Raw genomic sequence first — 22,646 nt, forward strand, 5'->3', positions numbered from 1 at the left:
AAGTGCCTTGGTTTGGATTCTAAGTTGAAATGAGCCCTATTCCTTTGCAGCTCTTAGGAATCAGCTTGCCTCCCCTGATGCTTCTCTTGCACCTGCTGTCCATTCCATTTGCTTATTGATTCATTCATTCAACAAAATGTATTGAGCACTGACTTGTGTGAGACACTCTGCTAGGGAGTAACCAAGGGGCGAAGAAGAAAGCAGACCCAGCACCTGCCCTCATGGAGCCTACAGTCTGCCAGGGGAAACAAACACCAAAGAACTAATTATTCTATTTTTATTTTTTAATTTATTGAAACAGAGTATCACTCTGTCACCAGGCTGGAGTGCAGTGGTGCCGTCTTGGCTTACTGCAACCTCCGCCTCTTGGGTTCAAGCAATTCTCCTGCCTCAGCCTCCCGAGCAGCTGGGATTACAGACGTGCACCACCATGCTCAGTTAATTTTTGTATTTTTAGTAAAGATGAGGTTTCACTATGTTAGCCAGGCTGGTCTCGAACTCCTGACCTCAAGTGATCCACCCGCCTCTGCCTCCCAAAGCGCTGGAATTACAGGTGTGAACCACTGCGCCCTAATTATCCTAATTAAATAATGACAATTGTGGTAAGTGCCATGCAAAAGAAGCATCAGGAGCACATACACTCAGAACATGTGACCGATTTCAGGAAGGAAGTGACATTTCAACTGAGCCTTGAAGGAGGAGTAGAGTGAAACAGATGAGGAAGGCAGGGAAGAGCATTCCAGGCAGAAGGAAAAGCATGTGCCCAGGGTGGCCAGCATGAAGCATGGAGATTCTATCTCCTGGCCTGAGGAGCCTAGTGAGGTCCCCAAGTAACTAGAAAGATGGTCCTACCTCTTCCTAACGTCACCACCTCCAAAAGTTCTGGTGCTGTGTCCTACTTCACGGAAGGAATCCCCCATTTTTCACAGCTGGTGACCCACTGCAATCATCTGGCACAGCCCTACCCGCCTACCTGCCAGCACCCCCAGACCTTTCCTCCAGGCTTTGCCAGGAAACCACAGCAGCCTCCTAACTGCCTCTTTGTCTACTCCACATAGCAGCCAGAGAGATTCCTTTATAGCGCAAGTCCGCCACATCACTCCTCTGCTTAAAACTCCTTCAGGGCTTCTGGCCTCACTCAGTGTCCACATCCTAATCAGAGCCCACAAGGCCCTGCAAGATTTGACCCCCACTTACCTGTCTGAGCCCTTCTCCCACCAGCCCCCTGTTCTGTCTCTCTGCTCCAACCACACTGGGATCCCCGCTGTGTCTGGCCACACCAAGCACGTTCCTACCTCAGAGCCTTTGCACATGCTGTTCCCTGTGCCCGGAACACTCTTGCCCCAGATATCCATTTCCTCCCTTCTGCTCAAATGTTTTTTCCCTAACCACCATCTCACTCTTCATTGTGCTACCTCACATGATATTATGACACTTGTTTATCCATAGACTGTCTTCTCCACAGGATTATAAACTTCAAGAGGCTCAGGACCTTGTCAAGATGTTCACCATTATTTCCCCTGTGTTTAGAGCAGCACTTTCACATAGGGCTAACAATATGTTTTTATTAACATTTATGTGTTTATTTTTGAGACAGGGTCTTTGCTCTGTTGCTTAGGCTGGAGTGCAGTGGTGTGATCATGTCTCACTGCAGCCTCAACTTTCCAGGCTCAGGTGATCCTCCCATCTCAGCCTCCCAAGTAGCCAGGACCACAGGCATGCACCACCATGCCTGGCTAATTAACAATATGTTGAGTGAATCAATTAATGAATGGGTGTCACCACCCCCAGCACCACCCCACCCCCATCCTGCCTCCTCCTCATCCCTCACTAACTTTGGCAAAGGGGATGGAAGGAAATGCATGATGTCAAGACCCCATAATTCTTTCTGGTGCCCCCAAACTTTCCCAACACATTGGTCAGGAGCAGGTCTTCCTTCCTTCTTTCCCCTTCCTTCCTTCCTTCCTTCCCTCCTTTCTCTCTCTTTCTCTCTGTCTTTCTTTCTTCCTTTCTTTCTTCTTTCATTCTGCCTATCTTTTTCCTGCAGTAGGGAGCAGGCTTTAAATAGCCATGGAGAGGGTGGGAACATGTCAGCTTCTAAAGGATGTGCGTGTCTGGGACACAGAGGGAAACACCTCCTTGCTTGGTATTGGGGCCCAGGCACAGAGGTGACACTGAGTCCCAGCTTGTGTGCCACCAGGACTGTGAAGAGATGGAAACAGGTTATGTAAGTACTTTTGTGTTTGTTGTGGTTATCTGATTCACAGGCAGAGCTGAGCCATACTAACACATGACATTAGGTGACACACAGCCGTTGCCATCGCGTGAGCCCAGTGACTGTTTTCTGTCTGGGGTTATACCCACTCCTCTAGCTCAGCATCACCACCCACAGGCTACCACCACTGCTTCTGCTGCATCTATAAACTATCTGTACTATTTTTTACTCAGCTTTTAAAATGGACTCATTTTTATGACTTGAATACATGCATTTCAAAAGGATACTAGGAGCTAAGGAAGACCAACAGACAGGTGTGACAAGCAGGACAAACCTGGCCCCCAAGAAATGGCCGCGTGCAGAGGTCGAAGGCAGAGGCCTGAAGGGAGAGGAAGGCAGGAGCCGCCCACTGGGTGAGGGAGTCCCGGTCCCAAGGGGCTGAGCAGAGGGAAGGAGGAAGGGGGAGTAGGTGAGGTCCTAGGACTCTGGGAATCTCATGGGACTTCCAGGCCTGGGGAGACTGGGAGTGGAGAGTGGGGTGAGGGAGCTAATTGTGACGTGTTTTTGGTGCGTGTGGGGTTCAGGTGAGGCGAGGATGTGACTGAGACAGAGGGCACAGCCTCAGGGCAGAACCAGGGGAACCAGAGGAGGTGTGGGGGAACAAAAGTGGGATGCAGTTTAGGGAAGGAGTACTGAGGAGTTGGGTACAGCGAGAGCCACAGCGCAGAAAAGGACCCTAAAGAGTGAAGCACGGCCGGGCGCGGTGGCTCACGCCTGTAATCCCAGCACTTTGGGAGGGCAAGGCGGGAGGATCACGAGGTCAGGAGATCGAGACCATCCTGGCTAACACGGTGAAACCCAGTCCCTACTAAAAAAAATATAAAAAATTAGCCTGGCGTGGTGGCGGGCAACTGTAGTCCCAGCTACTCGGGAGGCTGGGGCAGGAGAATGGTGTGAACCTGGGAGGTGGAGCTTGCAGTGAGCCGAGACTGCGCCACTGCACTCCAGCCTGGGTGACAGAGCAAGACTCCGTCTCAAAAACAAACAAACAAACAAACAAAAACAGTGAAGCACTTTGGAAGGCCGAGGCGGGAAGATCCCTTGAGCCCAGGAGTTCAAGACCAGCCTGAGGAACATAGTGAGATCCCATCTCTACAAAAAATATTATAAAAATTAGCCTGGTGTGGTGACATGCTCCTGTTGTCCCAGCTACTTAGGAGGCTGAGCTGGGAGGATTGCTTGAGCCTGAGAGGGCGAGGCTGCAGTGAGCCTGGATGACTAACTACTAGCCTGGGCTACAGAGCAAGATTCTGTCTCAACAAGAGAAAAAAAAAGAGTGAAGGGGAGCAGGGCTGGGGGCAGGCCCGTGACAAAGTGGAGACTCTGGTGGGTGAGGGTGTCGAGGAGGGACCGCCCTGTGTGAGCCAGAAACGGGTTTGGAGGGAAGGGGAGTGAGGAACGGAGTGGGTGCTGGTTGGGTGTCCCACCACCCCAGGCAGGGCTGGCTGGGGACTGGACAGTGAGTATGATGGTCTCTGCTGGCAGCTTCTCTGTCGCCCACATGCCACCTGAAGTCATCTATGTATACACTCCTGCTCTAAAGCAAGGAACATCAGTCCACCTAGGACTTTGGAGGTCAGAAAGACAGAAACATATTCTACTACCCTATTGGGGAGATAGAGTTCCTGGGAGCCTTGGTGACTAAGAAGCATGTTAAGGAATGAAAAAAAACTCAAGGAAGACCAGAAAGGCAAACTGTCATACAGAGATCTGTAAAAGCAAGAAATAACCGCGAAGACACAATGCTGGGTTTTGGATTTTAGAGTCGTCTGCAGAATCACATCGATTATGGTGCACGAGAAATTGCACAGACACAGGAAGCCCTCTAAGGTGGTGGTGCTCCCGAGTCACTACTCTGGCCAATGGGATGGGCCTTATTCAGGTGGATGGGGCTTTCAAGCACTGAGAGGGTAGGGAGTTAGGTTCTCTGTTTCTAAAGGCACTTGGGGCGGGTGGAAGGCATTGATTGTTTATCTGCCTGGTTAGTTGCCCCTCTCCTTCTGGGAACTGCCCCTCCTCCACTCCAATACGGATCCCCCTGGGGAGCTGCCCTGTTCTTATGCGGCCTTTGCCACCACGGTCATGGTTGATGAGGCTGGGAATGGGCATCTGGGAGTTTGTATTTAAGACACAAAGGGCAGCTTCTCTCGGGCAGCTGAAGCTGTCATGAGGTGTAATGCCAGGGCTGCTGGCTGCCATGTTTTCTGACAAATGGAGAAACTAGCCTTTAGGAAGAGAGAAAATGCAAGCTGGCCTGCAGGGAACATGGGAGAAGCCGAGCATCCTGAATGTGTTGCAGTCCTTGGTTCTCTCTGCTCTTCTGCTACTTGACCACCAACTCCTCTTGAGGTCTCTGAGAACCTCACCTCCCCCAGCCGCCGATGTTCTTCAGATGTACTATCTCTGAGCTTAGGCTGATGAAAGCTGAGCGTCTGTCATTTGCAATCAACTCAGCAGTGAAAAGAAAAAAAAAACCTGGGGGTACAGTCAGCACTTTCGGTTTTCTCATCTGAGACACTAGAACACACTTTCAGGGACTACTCGGGGCCCAGGGAGGCTGATGGCATCAGGGGGACTTCACACAACTACTGACTTAAGCTTAAAGGGAACCCATAACTATCTGGGTTTTATTTTGGAATTGTTTGTTTATTTCTAATTCTTCTGTTCACAGAATTCAGGGGAACCTGAGCCAAGTGTCCTACCTGTAACCTTGAGGAGGCACCATGCCAAGGAGTGAAAGATGAGGTGAGGAACTCAGGACGCCTTACTTTCCATAGAATTTGATGATTGGATTTTCATGGGAATTCACACTCTGAATTGGAAGTAGGTTCTCTGGCCTCTTGATCTTGTGGTGACAGAGGTCACTGTAGGGAAGGGGTAGAAGGAAGAATAAAGGAATGAGGAGGAAGAGAAGAGCAGGAGGCACGGGTACACAGGCACCTGTCCTTGACAGCCTCGCTTCCCTCTGCGGAAGATCTCAATGTCGAAGCTGGGATTCTCCCTCCAGATGGCAGCTCCATCTGCCCAGCTGGTCACATCTGAAACCCAGGCAGGGCATTCTCCTGACCCCTCCCTCTCCATCCTCCTGCAATTCCAGTCTAGTCCACCCCCATCTACCCCTGCTCACTTCTCTCCATTGTCTTGCCATTGCCCTCATTCAGTTCACAAATTCCATTCTCACCTGAGTGACCATAGCAGCCTCCTAAGAGGGCCATCCCCACCCAAACTGGATTTGCCACAAGCCCAGCTGGAGCAGTCTGTACAGGAGACAAATCTGACAATGTCCTTCATCTGCTTAAAACCTCCCAACGGCTCCCCTTTGCTCCCAGGATAAAGTTAACAAACAAAAACAGAAAAGCCCTCAATAAGGCCCGTGCAATCTGGCTGCTGCCTCTCTCTCCAACCACGTTGGCTTTGCTTCTCACCCTCACTCTGCTCCAGCCTCATTGGCTTTGTGGCTTAAAAGGGCCCTGCTCCCTCCTGGTTCAGGGCCTTGCACATTCTGTTCCCTCTTCCTGGAAAGCCCTTCCCCCCTCTTTCACCAAGTTAAGTCTCACTTTTATTTTATTTTTATTTTTATTTTTTGAGATGGAGTCACTCTGTCACCCAGGCTGGAGTGCAGTGGCATGCTCTTGGCTCACTGCAACCTCTGCCTCCCAGGTTCAAGCGATCCTCCTGCCTCAGCCTCCAAAGTAGCTGGGACTACAGGCACCTGCCACCATGCATGGCTAATTTTTTTTGTATTTTTAGTAGAGACCGAGTTTCACCATGTTGGCCAGGCTGGTCTCGAACTCCTGGCCTCAGGTGATCCAGCCCCCTCAGTCTCCCAAAGTCCTGGGATTACAAGCATGAGCCATAAGTCTAACTTTTTAAAAACGTATTGCTTAAGATCCCACTCATCTGTTCCATCTATATAAATTCTTACAAATAACCCTCATAGCACTTATAATTTTACTTATGTGTGTATGTAAGTGTTTGATTGATGTTTGTCCTCTCAAGGACACTGTAAGCTCCATGAAGGTAGGGAGGGACCACGTTTGTTTTGCTCACTCCTAGGATCTTCAGCACCTGCCACAGGGCCTGGCTAAGTCTCATCTATCCCTCAAGATCCCGACCTAGCATCTCTCTGAGAAGCCCCCCTTGACTCTAAGCTTTGGGAGTCCCATGAACCAGCATGGACCACACATTTATTGTACCACCTGGCAATGATCTGCTCACATAACTGTCTCACCACTACTTTGTGGATTCTTGGAGGGCAAGAGCCTCATCTTTGTTGAATTTGTTTCCTTTACACCCAGCACAGTGCCTGGCCTGCAGGAGATCAATGGTGGGTAAATGAATGACTCTGTTAAGACAGTCCCCTGGGCCCAGGTATTATACCCTGTACATCAAGGGGCTGGCTGAGATGACTTTGTGTGTCCTTTCTCTGTCACTGTGGCTCCAGCATTGCATAACCCTGCCCAGCCAGCACCCCTCTGCTTTGTCATGCCATGTGCCTTTAACTGTTGCCCTGGCAATCAACAAATCTTGCTGCTACCCCCGTTTCTCTATTCCATTATGAAAAGGGAGCCTCACACCTCCGGGCTTTCTATAGATTATGCAAAAAGACAAGCCATTTTAATGTCTCCTTCCTCTTTGACTCATGTTTTTTAGTTAGCTCTTTCTCATATTTATGGGGCAACTTTTTTTTTTGGTTTTCTAATTATTAAGAAGCATTTAAAATATAGAACAGGTATGAAGAATAACACAGTGGCCACCCATGATCACACCCAAGGACATGCAGCTGAGGATACAAAATGTGACCCACGTACAGGGACCTTGTCTTTAGAGGAGGATTGATACCATCTGAGGCCTTTCCAGATGTACTCATGTACTTCCAGGGAACTGAAATGTCTATTTCAAACCATGTGTCCCGGGCAGAGCCCAGCATCTACATGTCCAGCTAGGAGGCCTTTCTTCTAGACTCTCGTCTGAGAAAAATGGATCTTCTTCTTCTCTGAATCCTCAGCAGCCCCTGAGCACATTCCCTTCTAGGACAGACTTGGAGACTCTGAGCTGGGAGGGCCCTGGAGGAGAAGAAATCTAGACTCCCCCATGGCACAGGAATGCCCTCCCAACTTTCCCACCCATGGGCTCTGTGAGGTGTGGCAGTGGGGCCCAAACACCACAGGGGACACATTCCAGAAAAGAGAAAGGAAGACACAATCAACCAAGGAGATATGAGCATCCGGAACAAGCTGGACATGTTTTTATTTCTTGTGAGGCCACCTAGAAATAGGACTCATCTAGGAAATGCATCCAAAAAGTCAATGCAGTCAGGCCTTCATTTTCCTTCTGCGGGCCAGACGCGACACTAGAGGTTGGGATTTGAAGATGAATAGGCCATCATTTCTAAGCTTGAGGAGCGCACACTGAGTCGTTAACTTGAAGAAGTAAACAAACATTTATGAAACTGTGTGACAGGAGCTACCACAAAGCTGCACATGCAGGGATGGAAAGAAATCTCTGAGTCACACTTAGGGCATGGGGGAAGGCTTCCTGGAGGAGGGGACGCTTGCCCTGCATTGTGAAGCACGCTTATGGGGAGCTGCAGGTGGCTCCACCTGTCTGGAGCAAAAGGTGGGGAGTGGACAGTGGTGGGAGATGTGGCCAGAACAACATCACAAAGACCTTGTGTGCAGAGCTGAGGAGTGCTTGCCTCTAGTGGCAGATTCCTGGTTTCCTCAGCCTTAACCTCTCACCCTCTCTAGGTTTCCTTCCTTGTTTTGGTGGCCACTGGAGGGTTCAAGGCAGGGAGTGACCTGAAGAGAACTGGAAAATCCTGTGAGGCGACATCCGGCTGAACTGGAAGGAGCGAGAACAACGAGGAGGCAGCCGTGGGTTGGAGGTGAGAAGCCAGGAGAGGCTGCAGCAGGGTGGTGGCAGTGAGAAAGGACAGGAGGGAAGACTGTAAGGAAAGAAGCATCTGTGACACTGAGAGTGAGTGAAGGGGGATCTGGGGAATCCTTAGTCTTCAGGCTTGGCTCACTGGGAGCTAGTGGTGCGCTTTGTCGACAGAGAGAACTCCAGAGAAGTAGACCTTGGCACAGGTCTTTGGATGATGGGACGGAAGTTGAGTTGTAAGTTGTAGGGATAAGAGCCCACAGACTCTATAAGTATGAAAGACGTTAGAAGCAAAAAGAAGGCCAGGGAATGGTCAAACAAGACTAGGATGTGGGGAATAGGTCCTCTGACTACACACACAATTTCTCTGAGGAGACGCCCTAATGGACTTTGGAGGACATAGCTTGGCTGAAGAGGCATCCCTGAGGTTCCAGAGTTGAAGTCTTGGGTGTCCATCATAGCACCAACAGTATAAACTCTAGGACAAGTTGACCACACTTTGAGACATCACCTATGGGCTCCAGTGAAACAGCTGGAGCTCGGTTAAATTTGATTCCATTTTTTAATTTTAGGATTTTTTTTAAGTTCAAAAAAATTAGTTGGCTGGGCACAGTGGCTCACGCCTGTAATCCCAGCACTTTGGGAGGCTGAGGTAGGCAGGCAGATCACGAGGTCAGGAGATCAAGACCATCCTGGCTAATACAGTGAAACCCCGTCTCTACAACGAAATACAAAAAATTAGCCAGGCATGGTAGCGTGCGCCTGTAGTCTCAGCTACTCGGGAGGCTGAGGCAGGAGAATCGCTTGAACCTGGGAGGCAGAGGTTGCAATAAGCCAAGATCGCACCACCGCACTCCAGCCTGGGCGACAGAGCAAGACTCCTTCTCAAAAAAAAGAAAAAAGAAAAAATATTAGTTATACATAGTTCAAACAATAAAATAATCATGTATGAAACATATCAGTTGTGTACCCCCCTTTCCTGCGCTCCAGAGGCAAGTACTTCCAACTCTTCTCAATTCTTTTGGTACTTAACCACCATAGCTGTAAGTGCCACGGGTTTATTAACACTTCCGGACTTTTTCCATGTTAGGCATTTGCATGCCATAGCCTTTTCTATACGGCAGACAAATCGCATGATTGGAGTCTAGATTCCTTCTCCTCCGGGGTCTGCTCAGAGATTCTCCAAGTTTGTCCTTGAAGGGAATGTGCTTCTGCCAAAACCCCAGGGAAGAAAACCAGCTCTCCTTGTTTTTAGTTTTTGGTTTTTGTTTCTGCTTTTGATAGAGACAGGGTCTAGCTATGTTCCCCAGCCTGGTCTCGAACTCCCGAGCTCAAGCAATCCACCATCGTCGGCATCCCAAAGGGCTGGGATTACAGGTGTGAGCCACCGTGCCCGGCCCCATTCTCCTTGTTTAACTGTTTACCCCACCCTCATCTCAACCCTGCACAGGTGCCCGCTTCCCACTCCCCCATCCTGCTAACTGTGTTATATCATAGCTTTAGATACATCAACTCCCAGTGTTCACTTTATTAGGATTGTGTTCATGCTATGCAAATCAAATCACTTAGGGTATATCATGATTATTTTTTCCTTTTCCTCCATAGTTTGTTTATTCCACTGGAGTTAATAATGCTTCCTTTTCCCCATTTACTTAGTTATATTTATGGTACTTATCATTAGTCCAACCCCTAATCTTCCCCCTATTGTGTAAACCTCTCAATATTTTCAAACATGATTCTTTCAGTGTGACTTTCTTGAAGAACTCTTCCTTGGAGTCTTCAAAGCAGCTTCAGCCTGAGTATGCTGCTTTCTTTTTTTTTCTTTTTTCTTTTTTTTGGGGGGACAAAGTCTTGCTCTTGTCCCCCCAGCTGGAGTGCGATGGCACGATCTCGGCTCATTGCAACCTCTGCCTCCTGGGTTCAAGCGATTCTCCTGCCTCAGCCTCCTGAGTAACTGGGATTACAGGTGCCTGCCACCACGCCCGGCTAATTTTTGTATTTTTAGTAGAGATGGGGTTTCACCATGTTGGCCAGGCCGATCTAGAACTCCTGACCTCAGGTGATCCACCCGCCTCAGCCTCCCAAAGTGCTGGGATTACAGGCATGAGCCACCACGACCAGCCGAGTACACTGCTTTTTATGCCTGGTAGATAGCTGTCTACCCAGGAGTTTCCTTTAGCTGGGTGATTCCCATTGTTTGCCTTTTGTGGCGGATTCCCGGTTTCCTCAGCCTTAACCTCTTCCCCTCTCTAGGTTTCCTTCCTTGTTTTGGTGGAGCACATCCTTCAGCAGCTTCCTGAGAGAGAAGATAAGGCAGTATCATTTGTTGTTTCACTCTCTTCTCAAACTGATTTTTTGGTAGTTTGGATATAGCATTCTAGGTAAGAAACGGTTTTTCTTCAGAAGGCATTGTTCCACTGACTTCAAATTTCCAGGCTTGAGGCAACTGTGTTGATATTTTGTATCTGGTTTTTTTTTTTTAACTTTTTCTGATTTTTTAAAATCTCTGAAATCCTGTTGGATCTCCTCTTTGTCTCCAGTTTTGTAAAATTTCATGGTGATATGCAGTACAACTCAATTCTACAGATACGTATTGAGAGCGTGTGTTACATAGTTTATCTCACTAAACACTCCAAAATATACAAAAATATCCACAAGTCCTGAGACAGCTAGAAATCTGAGGGAAGTGGGGGAGATAAGGCAAACAGAATATTGATGAGCATGTAGTATCACACATATAAATTATGCATGTAAAACTTGTAAGGGCAACATTTTCACAAATTCCAAGTGTTGATATTTTTAAGAAAGAATAATGCCGGCTCCCAACCTGATTCATTCTGTTAGAAATTTGGCCTTCCCCTGCACTCAACAAACTCCTTACCTCTTAAATCTATAGCTCTGTTTGGCTAGTAGTAAGCTATAAATAAGAGGGTGATGTTTTGGCTTTGAATCCAGGAGTTGCTGATAGCCTCCAGTGGGCTGACTTAACTATCATTCTGCAAGAGGCCACACAAGCTTGAGTTCAATGCCAGAGGTTCGTTCCCTCAAGCTTCCTAAGGTGTCAGTTGGAATAGAGCCAGGAACCAGGAACCAGAGCCCCCTTTCAGGAAGCAATCCCTAAAATGTATTTCTCCTTACCCTTCAAAGTGTACCTATAGGTACTGATAGATAGAACATCATAAAGATAGATATGCTACATAGTAAGAACATCATAAAGATAGATATGCTACATAGTAAGCTGCTCAATACATGTTTTTTCAATGGGATGAATACAGAATATTTCTCTCTATGTAGTATCTACCCAATATTTATAGAGATGACCCCAACACCCTACCCCCCACATTAGGAATCAGCCAAGAGTCATCCCTACCCTGGTGGCTCCCAGAATATGATCATTATTATTGAAAACAGTTTATGCATATTAGCTTGTTTAATTCTCACAGCAATTCTATGAGGCAGGTTTTTGTTTGTTTTGTTTTTTTGTTTTTGAGACAGAGTCTCGCTCTGTCTCTCAGGCTGGAATGCAGTAGTGCCATCTCAGCTCACTGCAGCCTCTGCCTCCCAGGTTCAAGTGATTCTCCTGCCTCAGCCTCCCAAGTAGCTGAGATTACAGGCATGTGCCACCACACCTGGCTAATTTTTGTATTTTTAGTAGAGACGGGGTTTCACCATGTTGGCCAGGGTGGTCTTGAACTCCTGACCTCAAGTGATCCACCCATCTCGGCATCCCGAAGTGCTGAGATTACAAGTGTGAGCCACCGTGCCAGGCTGGAGGCAGGTATTTTTAATCCTTATTTGATAGATTCAGAAACTGAAGAATAGAGAGGTCAAGTGACTTGCTCAAGATACCAAAGCTAAGAATGACAAAACAGAGCTTCAAGTCTAAGCAGACCCAACCCAGATCTCACAACAGATCCAGCTCGTTCCACCACAAAAGCAATTCCAAATCTCACTTGAATCCCAGGTTAGACCCCTTGGAATCTCTCACCAAGCTGAAGGGCTGCCCCAGAAGAGCTCATGGGAAAGGCCACGTGGAAGGAGCACCCATTTTATTGCTGCTTGTTCTGATGCTATTTCACTATAGGACGCTGAGTAACACACCCGCCTCTCCAGGCCTCAGTTTCCTTATCTGTAAAATGAAGTTAAGAATATATTATGAAGAGTTTTGGAAGAGGCCCATGATGACCGAGGGAAAAGAAGCAGTGAGAGGTCTCAGAAGGCCTTCTAAAAGAACAGAGTTCTGTGCTCCCTGGAGAATGATGGGAAACACAGGAGGAATAGTGACAATACGAGATGTTAAATTACTGTAGAAATTCTTAGATCTGAGTCTGAACTCCCTCTCCAAATATTCCATTATAATCCAAGACTCTATAGTTTCTACCAAAAAGTAGGTGCCTTCAAGCAGGGAGTGATCATTTGAATCTAGTTCTCTCCTGGGAATCAGTGGTTCTAACTTGGCTGCACGTTTGGATGACCAGCGGAGCTTGTGACATGCAGATGTTCAGGTCCACCCTCGGAGATCGCTAAATGGGGTGTTGCCCGAACACTTGGGATATTAAGAGTTTCTTCATATGATTCTAATGTGCAGACAAAATGGAGAGCCACTTCCCAGAGCTTCAAGTTATTCATTTTCTGGTCTGAAGTTTAACAAAGAAAAAAAAAATAAAGAAGCAGTGATGCCCAGTAGCTCTCAAAATTTAATGTGTAAACAAATGAATCTCCTGGGCATCTTGTTAAAATGCAGCTTTCAATTCAGTGGGTCTAGGTTGGGCCTGACAACCTTCTTGGTTGTTTTGTGGTTGCCGTTTTGTTTTTTAAGGCCTTAACACTGGAGGGGATTCTGGCCTTCTAAAAAGCTCCCACAGGTGCCCACGCTGCTAACCACAGACTGTGCTTGAATAGCTAGGCTACAGCTTGAATGATTACAGACTTGAACGAGAATTATGGCTCTTCTTGCCAGCTGGGACCTTCAGAAAGAAGTTACTTCACTTCTCTGAGTCTGGGTTTTCTTGTCTATAAAATTTAGGCCAGCAATAGTAACTTTATCACAGAATTCTTGTGATGCATAAATGAGCTAATGCATTCAATTTGTTTAGCACTGTACAACAAATGTTAGCTTTTTGCTAGGATAGCCAGCATTCGCGGAATGCTTACTATGTGGCAGGAATTTTCTAAGTGCATTCGTGTATTAATTCATTCAAGTCTCAGAACAACACGGTGAGGTAGGTACTATTATTTCATCATTTCCATTTTACAGATGAAGAAACTGAAGCGCAGAGAGGTGGAGTTCCTTGGTCTACAGTGGCACCTCATTGTAGCTAAGCTGGTGTTTGAACTCAGGGAGAATTTGGGCTCCTTACCAGGATCCCTCGCCAAGGACAGAGGTCAGTGCAACGAGTCGAGGGTTTGCCCTTTGAAATGGGCTAGGACCGGCAGGTGGCAGACTAGGGCTGCTTGAGTTCAAAGACCGCTTCCAAGACCAAGCCCGGAGCCAGCTCTGTGCTAAGCGTTCCATCACACAACCGCGGACAGCTTCTTCGGCTTCTTCAAACTCTCCTTTCCCTCCCCCGCACCCTAGGGTCTTCGCCCAGAATCCATCAGGAAAAATAGCCCCACATAACAGGTTCAAATCTAACCTCCCCAAGACAAAACCACGTCCGCAGGGAAAGAAGCGAGTAAAGCGAGTTTTCTGTAACTCCCCTTTAACCCAGGAGCGCAACCAGCCCGGGAAATCTACAAATCTCTCTTTAGTTCAGCAAAGGGCTGGGAGCCTAAGCCAAGGGGGAGAAAGTTGGGGAATCCCTCTTGAATTCCCCAGAACACTTAGGTGGCGCCGGGCTTTGGTGCACGCGCGCAGGGCATGCGGACAGGCACCGGAGAGGCTCTATTTTGGGCATTACTTCGGGAAGGCGGATCTTCTTGCAGGGTCCGCTGATAGCGGGTGGCAAATGAATATGAGGGGCAGTGCAAAGGGTGGGGGTTAACCGGGCGGTTTCCATGGCGCCCGGGGCGTGGGGGAGGAATGCATCCCGCAAGCTGTGGCGAAACAACTGCTCTGCCCGGAGGACCGGGCTCGAGAAGGCAAGAGACACTGGGTCGGGGGTGGAGTGGTGGCGGGGGGGTTGGGGGCGGAAGAAGCCAGGCAGGACGGGGGCGGGGCGGTCACGTGTGCCCGACTGGGCGAGGCCCCAAGCTGGCCCGGGAGAGGACTCTGCGGGCGAAGTGGCTGCGCAAGGAGAGAACTTTTCCTGCACAAGGAACGCCTCGTGGGGAGACCCAAGGCAGGAGCGGTCCGGAGCCGGCTGCGGCGTGTGCGGCCGGCCTTGGGACAGCGATCGCCGCGGGTGGCAACAGAGAGCCCCAAGCAAAAGTGGGAGCAGGAGCTTGGAGGTGAGCACAGGAAGCCCCACTTGAGGCTTTTACGCAGCCTCTAGTCTCTGTTTCTTCTGGAATAGGCAAGTGTCCTTTCAACTCTAAGAGACCAGCAGAGGCCACTGTCCCTTAAGACTGCCGGAGTCCTCACCACTTCTCCAGGATTCCAGAGGAGACTGTGGCGATGGTGAATGAAGGTCCCAACCAGGAAGAGAGCGATGACACCCCTGTGCCGGAGTCCGCACTCCAAGCGGACCCCAGCGTCTCGGTCCATCCCAGCGTCTCGGTCCATCCCAGCGTCTCCATCAACCCCAGCGTCTCTGTCCACCCCAGCAGTTCGGCCCACCCCAGTGCCTTAGCCCAACCCAGTGGCTTGGCTCACCCCAGTAGCTCGGGCCCTGAGGACCTCAGCGTGATCAAGGTGAGCAGGCGCCGTTGGGCCGTGGTCCTGGTGTTTAGCTGCTACTCCATGTGCAACTCCTTTCAGTGGATCCAGTACGGCTCCATCAATAACATCTTCATGCACTTCTACGGTGTCAGTGCCTTTGCCATTGACTGGCTGTCCATGTGCTACATGCTGACTTACATCCCTCTGCTCCTGCCAGTGGCTTGGCTGCTGGAGAAGTTCGGCCTGCGCACCATTGCTCTCACTGGCTCGGCTCTCAACTGCCTGGGGGCCTGGGTGAAGCTGGGCAGCCTGAAGCCGCATCTCTTTCCGGTCACCGTGGTGGGCCAGCTCATCTGCTCTGTGGCCCAGGTTTTCATCCTGGGCATGCCCTCCCGCATCGCTTCCGTCTGGTTCGGGGCTAATGAGGTTTCAACAGCCTGCTCCGTGGCTGTCTTTGGCAATCAGGTAGGTAGAACAGTTTGTGAATGTTCCCAGGGGCGTGTGTTAGATTGCACCTAACTATTGGGTGTGGTAGGCTATAATTTGCTGATTGTCCAACAGTGTTTGTGACTCTGGGTGACAGTAACTGGGTGTGACAGGCAGTGATTGTGATGCTGTAAGAGAGGCGGGAAACAAAAGCAGGGGGACCTGCTCTTTCATCCACAGTTGCTCTTGCCCCAGCCAAAAGCATGCTTCTAGAACATACTATACCTTCGCTGTGTCGTTCTCGAACCTGTGTCAGTCCACCAACTTAGACCTGTAATTTCAGGAATGCTCTTCTGTCTGGCAGCAGCCCCTGGGCATCAGACTATTCTGGTGTCATCAGAACTTGGCAGTGCTTTCAGTTGGACCAACCAGCTTTCCTAGAGTGCAGTATCTCCTCTACTGCATAGAATTGCAAAGCCATGCCTGGTGGTGTTTGGCACTGCTTTTACCTTGTTTTACACACAGCTGAAGCCAGGACAGTGGGAGCAGTGCTTTGTGCCAAACTCCTTGCCTGGGATTTAGAGCCAAGTCCAGCAGGATGGAGTAGAAATCTCACTCTGAGTTTCCATGGCCTAGAAAGGGTAGTTCATGTCTTAATCTTTTTCTCTTTCTTTCTTATTGGAAGGAGAAGCTCAAATTCTTTGCATCTCAATGTGGTTATGATCCAGAAAGCTGGGCAGGTTGTGAACCTGAATGCCGTCTCCAAATACTCGAAGCAAATATTTATGGGAATATTTAAAGCAAACGTCCTTTAGCCAGACCACTGCCTCCCAGTCTCGCATCTTTCCAAGCACGTACAGTCCTGGCTGTGTGTTTAACAAAGGATTGGTAATCCTGTCTCACACGTCCATGTGAAGAGACCACCAAACAGGCTTTGTGTGAGCAACAAGGCTGTTTATTTCACCTGGGTGTAAGCAGGCTGAGTCTGAAAAAGGAGTCAGCAAAGGGTGGTGGATTATCATCAGTTCTTATAGGTTTTGGGATAGGTGGTGGAGTTAGGAGCAATGTTTTTCAGACAGGGTGGATCTCAAAGTACATTCTCAAGGGTGGGGAGAATTACAAAGAGCCTTCTTAAGGGTGGGGGAAATTACAAAGTACATTGATCAATTAGGGTGGGGCGAAACAAATCACAATGGTGGAATGAAATCAGTTAAGGCTATTTTCACTTTTTTTGTGGATCTTCAGTTGCTTCAGGCAATCTGGATTGCCTGAAGCATGCAGGTCACAGGGGATAGGATGGCTTAGCTTGGGCTCAGAGGCCTGACATTCCTGTCTTCTTATATTAATAAGAAAAGCAAAACAAAATAGTGAAGTGTTGGAGCAGCGAAAAATTTTGGGGGTGGTATGGAGAGATAATGGGAGATGTTTCTCAGGACTGCTTCGAGCGGGATTAGGGGCAGCGTGGGAACCTACAGTGGGAGAGACTCAGCTGAAGAACGGTTTTGGGGTAAGGGGTGATACTGTGGGGTTGTTAGAAGAAACATTGGTCGTATAGAATGATTGGTGATGGCCTGGATGCGGTTTTGTATGAATTGAGAAACTAAACGGAAGACACAAGGTCTGAAAAAGAGAAGGAGAAAAACAGGTATTAAAGGACTAAGAATTGGGAGGACCTAGGACATCTAATTAGAGAGTGTCCAAAGGGGTCCAAGGGGATTTAGCATAATTACTTGTTTGTTTGGTGAGTTTTTGGGCTCTATTCTTGACAGAGTCCTCTTTTTTAAGTTTGAAGCTGAGCTTGGTGAGGTGTGTTTTTAAAAGACCGTTAGTCCATTCTACCTTTCTTGAAGATTGAGGACGGTAAGGGGTATGAAGGTTTTACTGAATACCAAGAGCCTGAGAAACTGCTTGGGTGATTCCACTAGTAAAGGCTGGTCCGTTATTGGACTGTATAGAGGTGGGAAGGCCAAACTGAGGAATTATGTCTGACAGAAGGGAAGAAATGACCGCAGTGGCCTTCTCAGACCCTGTGGGAAAGGCCTCTACCCATCCAGTGAAAGTGTCTACCCAGACCAAGAGGTATTTTAGTTTCCTGACTCGGGGCATGTGAGTAAAGTCAATTTGCCAGTCCTGGGCGGGGGCAAATCCCCAAGCTTGATATGTAGGGAAGGGAGGGGGCCTGAACAATCCCTGAGGAGTAGTAGAATAGCAAATGGAACACTGAGAAGTGATTTCCTTTAGGATAGATTTCCATGATGGAAAGGAAATGAGAGGTTCTAAGAGGCGGGAACCCACATGGAAGAGGTTATGAAATGACAACAGAATAGAATGGGCCTGTGAGGCTGAAAGGAGATATTTTCCTTGGTCCAAGAACCGTTTGCCTTGTGTGGGAAGAGATTGGTAGGTTGAAGTTTCAGTGGGAGAGTAGGTGGGAGTGACCGATGAGAAGGAGAAAAACTGGCCGTGAGGGACAGAAGTTGTAATGCTAGCTGCTTCTTTAGCTACCATATCAGCATAAGCATTGCCCTGAGTGATGAGATCTGATGCCTTTTGATGGCCCTTGCAGTGTATGACTCCAGCTTCCTTTGGAAGTAAAGCAGCCTTGAGAAGAGTTTTTATTAAGGAGGCATTAATGATGGAGGACCCTTGCATAGTGAGGAAACCTCTTTCAGCCCATATAACAGCATGGTGGTGTAGGATATGGAAGGCCTATTTAGAGTCAGTATAAATATTGACATGTAGTCCCTTCGCAAGAGTGAGGGCTCGAGTTAAGGCAATGAGTTTGGCTTGCTGAGAGGTAGTGGAGGGGGGCAGAAAGTATATGCATCAGGTGTGAGGAAGAAAATAGATTTTGGAAGTTATGAGAACTGTAGAGAGTGAGTTGAGCATAGTTTGTGATTTTGAGGGCCTCTAAAAGTATTAGGGCAGTGGCGGCTGCCACACGGAGACATGATGGCCAGCCTAAAACAGTAAGGTCAAGTTGTTTGGACAGAAAGGCTACAGGGTGTGGTCCCGGCTGTTGTGTAAGAATTTTGATGGCACAGCCCTGTACTTTGGCTGTGTGTTATGAAAAGGGTTGGGATGAGTTAGGGAGATCTTGTGTGGGGGCAGCTTCTAGGGCTGTTTTTAAGGAACGGAAAGAGGAGTGGCGAAAGGATTTAGGATCTATGGGGTCAGCTAGGTTTGCTTTTGTGAGTTTATAAAATGGTTTAGTCAGGATGGTAAAACTAGGTATCCAAAGGCGGAAGTACCTAACCATGCCTAGGAAGGAAAGAAGTTGTTTTGTAGAAGGTGTTGGGGTTTGGGAGATTAGCTGGACACGATCAGCAGGGAGAGCACATTGTTTTCATTAAGAATTATGCCAAGATAGGTAACAGATGAAGACGAAGTTTGGGCTTGACTGAAGTAATGGGCGCTGTCCTTGAAGCCTTGTGGCAGTACAGCCCAGATAAGTTGCTGAGGCTGATGGGCATCAGGGTCAGTCCAAGTGAAAGCGAAGAGAGGCTGGGATGAAGGGTGCAAAGGAATAGTAAAGAAAGCATGTTTGAGATCCAGAACAGAATAATCGGTTATGGAGGGGTTGTGGAGGGAGGCATTGAGGATAGGAGAGTATATGGCTTTGGCACCACGGACTGGATAGACAAGACAATTTGGTTGATAAGGCGCAGATCCTGAACCAACCTGGAAGGCTTGTCCGGTTTTTGGACAGGTGAAATGGCGGAATTGTAGGGAGAGTTTATAGGCTTTAAAAGGCCATGCTGTAACAAGCGAGTGATAACAGGCTTTAATCCTTTTAAAGCATGCTGTGGGATGGGATATTGGTGTTGAGTGGGGTAAGAGTGATTAGATTTTAATGGGATAGTAATGGGCTCGTGATCGGTTGCCAGGGAGAAAGTAGAGGTATCCCATACTTGTGGGTTAAGGTGGGGGGATACGAGAGGAAGACGCGAAGGAGGCTTTGAACTGGGGAAAAGGGCAGGAATGAGGTGTGGCTGTAGCCTAGGAATAGTCAGGGAAGCATATAATTTAGTTAAAATGCCTCGGACCTAATAAGGGAACTGGGCAGGTGGGGATAACTAAAAAGGAGTGCATAAAGGAATGTTGTCCAAGTTGGCACCAGAGCTGGGGAGTTTTAAGAGGTTTAGAAGCCTGGCCGTCAATACCCACAACAGTTATGGAGGCAAGGGAAACAGGCCCTTGAAAAGAAGGTAATGTGGAATTGGTAGCCTCCATATTGATTAAGAAGGGGATGGACTTGCCCTCCACTGTAAGAGTTACCTGAAGCTCAGTGTCTGTGACGGTCCAGGGGGCTTCCGAGGCGATTGGGCAGCGTCAGTCTTCAGCTGCTAAGCCGAGGAGATCTGGGAAGGAGTTGGCCAAGGAACATTGGGTTTGGGCTCCAGGGGCTTTAGGAGTGGCCGCGATGTGAGTCGGACAGTCCGACCTCCACTGGGGGCCCGCACAGATGGCACGGCTTAGGAGGAATCCCGGGCTGCGGGCATTCTGAGGCCCAGTGGCCAGGCTTCTGGCATTCGAAGCAAGGTCCACAAGGATGTTTTGAAGGTGCCCCTGGGAGCTGTGGCTTGGATGTTCTGAAGGTTTTGTATGCTGGAGACGTGGTTGTGGGCTGTCTTACAGCAGAGGCAAGTAGCTGTAACTCAGAAATGTGTTACTGTCTGGCTACCTCCTATTATTGTACACCTTGAAGGCGAGGTTGATTAATTCCTGTTGTGGGGTTTGAGGGCCGGATTCCAATTTTTGAAGCTTTTTTCTAACATCAGGAGCTGACTGGGTGATAAAATGCATATTGAGAATAAGGCGCCTTCCGGCCCCTCTGGGTCTAGGGCGGTAAAGCGTCTAAGGGTTGCTGCCAAGCGGGCCATGAACTGGGCTGGGTTTTCGTCTTTACCTCGGGTAGTTTCTCTAAGTTTGTCATAATTAACAGCTTCGTAAGCTGCCTTTTTAAGCCCTTCAACTAGGCAGGAAACCATGTAATCTCACCTATCTATACCTGGGGAATCTGCCTGAAAGTTCCACTGGGGGTCCTCTTGGGGAACTGCTCTAATGCTTCCTGGAGGTCTGGCTCGTGAAGCCGGCAGTTATCAGCGTGAGATTGGGCTAGAGAAAAAACTCTTTCCCGTTCATCTGGGGAGAGGGTAGAAGTCAGGATGACATTTAAGTCACTCCAGGTTAAATTATAGGACAGAGTTAGATATTTGAATTCCTGTATATATTTAGTAGGGTCTGACAAGAAAGAGCCTAAATGCTGGCTGATTTGGGAAAGGTCTGATAGGCACATGTACCCTGACTATGCCTTTAGCTCCAGCCACCTCTTTAAGAGGAAATTGTTGGGCAGGTGGGGGAGGGCTAGTCGCTGAACGAAAACTGTAAACCAGACAGTGTGTGAGGAGGGGAGGTGATAGAAAGATTATAGGGTGGGGGAGCAGAGGCTGAGGAGAAATTGGGGCCTGGCTCAGCCTGGCGAGGAGCAGCCTGGGGAGAAGGGGAGAGATCAGATGAGTCTGTAGAAAAGGAGAATTCAAAAGACTCAGAGCTTGGGGTGAGACTGAAGGAACAGACAGGAGAGAAAGAAGAAAGATGTGGGATGAGTCGCATGGGAGCAGAGACTAGGGAGGGACTAATGTGTAAAAGAATGCCTGGATGTCAGGCACCTCAGACCATTTGCCCATTTTTCGACAAAAATTATCTAGATCTTGTAGGATGGACAGATCGAAAGTGCCATTCTCTGGTCACTTGAAACTACTGTCAAGTTTGTATTGGGGCCAAGCGGGATTGCAGAAGAAAATAAGGCTAACTTTTAGGTCAGGTGTGAGTTGAAGAGGTTTTAAGTTCTTGAGAACACAGGCTAAGGGAGAAGAAGGAGGAATGGAGGGTGGAAGGTTGCCCATAGTGAAGGAGGCAAGTTTAAAGAGAAGGGTAGAGACACAGAGAAGGGGGTGGGGAGCAGCCCTGGGCTGTAATGTGGGTGAGCAGCCAAAGCAGGTGTCCCCGCAATTGACTTGCCACCAAGGGAATGTGGGTGAATGACCAAGGCAGGCGTCCCCGCGGTGGTCAGACACCAATGGAGTGTGGGTGAATTATCAGGCAGGCGTCCCCGCAATGATTAAACACCAAGGGAAGGCTGCCTTCCCGAGTCCATGACCGGTGCCGGAGTTTTGGGTCCACGGATAAAATGTGCCTCCTTTATCTCTACTAGAGAGGAAAAAGAACTGGAATTGGAAGGACAGGGAGATTGATGGGTAGCAAGAGAGGAAGATTGAAGGGTAGCAAGAGAGGCTGGAGAAGAGAGTGAAAAGACCGCTTACCCGATTGAAATTGGTGAGATGTTCCTTGGGCTGGTTGGTCTGAGGACCCGAGGTCGTAGGTGGATCTCTTCACAGAGTGAGGGTGAGGACAGGGGACTGGTCTCCTAAAGAAGTCCCTCTGACCTGGGTCTTCGGCACTAAATGTCTCACGCATCCACGTGAAGAGACCACCAAACAGGCTTTGTGTGAGCAACAAGGCTGCTTATTTCACCTGGGTGCAGGCAGGCTGAATCCGAAAAAGGAGTCAGCAAAGGGCGGGAATTATCATTAATTCTTACAGGTTTTGGGATAGGCGGTGGGTTAGGAGCAATGTTTTGCAGACAGTGGGTGGATCTCACAAAGTACATTCTCAAGGGTGGGGAGAATTACAAAGAACCTTCTTAAGGGTGGGGGAGATTACAAAGTACATTGATCAGTTAGGGTGGGGCAGAAACAAATCACAATGATGGAATGTCATCAGTTAAGGCTATTTTCACTTTTGTGGATCTTCAGTTGCTTCAGGCGATCTGGATGTATACGTGCAAGTCAGAGGGGATATGATGGCTTAGCTTGGGCTCAGAGGCCTGACAAATCCCAGTTCTTCTCATTGGACTATTTTCTCCTATCTATTAATTTCATTTAGAAAATGTAACCTTTAATTTAGAAATTTTTCATTTAAAACAGAAACTTTACAAAACTTCTCTAAAGGCAAATTTCCCTTCTGTTCATCTTTACTACCAGGAAGGTAATCACCTTACTTTGACCCTGACCACACAGATCACCATAACGCTTGTACTCCGGTAATTCTGACCTCTCTGTTCAAATGCTTCTTACATACTCCACGGGAGCATTACCTTCTGCTTGCATTAAAATCCAACATTCTTCCTTTCGACAAGCATTTATCTAGTTTTTGCAAGACAGTGTGCTAGGGCTGCAAAGATAATCTTTGCCTTCGAAGACATACTATACCAGGTTTTAAAAAATTGTGCCAGGAGCC

General features: G+C 48.4%; 1 protein-coding gene and 1 long non-coding RNA gene across 2 annotated transcripts in view, besides 2 other annotated features; one reads left to right on the forward strand and one right to left on the reverse strand.

Annotated features, from left to right (window-relative positions):
• FLVCR2-AS1 (FLVCR2 antisense RNA 1) lies at nucleotides 10,643-15,330 on the reverse strand. Its single transcript, NR_110552.1, has 3 exons — nucleotides 13,519-15,330; nucleotides 12,147-12,287; nucleotides 10,643-10,835 (listed from the first exon to the last, which is right to left on the reverse strand). It is a non-coding gene; the product is annotated as an FLVCR2 antisense RNA 1 (long non-coding RNA).
• Nucleotides 13,468-13,527: an enhancer, noted in NCBI's record as "active region_8760". NCBI's record gives its function as "activates an Ori minimal core promoter by ATAC-STARR-seq in GM12878 lymphoblastoid cells {active_cell/tissue: GM12878}" and the evidence as "EXISTENCE:reporter gene assay evidence [ECO:0000049][PMID:35858748]".
• Nucleotides 14,238-14,307: a silencer, noted in NCBI's record as "silent region_5949". NCBI's record gives its function as "represses an Ori minimal core promoter by ATAC-STARR-seq in GM12878 lymphoblastoid cells {active_cell/tissue: GM12878}" and the evidence as "EXISTENCE:reporter gene assay evidence [ECO:0000049][PMID:35858748]".
• Nucleotides 14,362-22,646, forward strand: part of FLVCR2 (FLVCR choline and putative heme transporter 2) — a 69,548-nt gene continuing 61,263 nt past the window's right edge. Inside the window, exon 1 of the mRNA NM_017791.3 lies at nucleotides 14,362-15,383. Within this exon, the coding sequence (NP_060261.2) occupies nucleotides 14,715-15,383 (669 nt within the window). The 5' untranslated portion in view covers nucleotides 14,362-14,714. The remainder of the gene's footprint in view (nucleotides 15,384-22,646) is intronic.

Source organism: Homo sapiens, chromosome 14 (assembly GCF_000001405.40).
Source record: "Homo sapiens chromosome 14, GRCh38.p14 Primary Assembly".
Taxonomy (NCBI): Eukaryota; Metazoa; Chordata; class Mammalia; order Primates; family Hominidae; genus Homo; species Homo sapiens.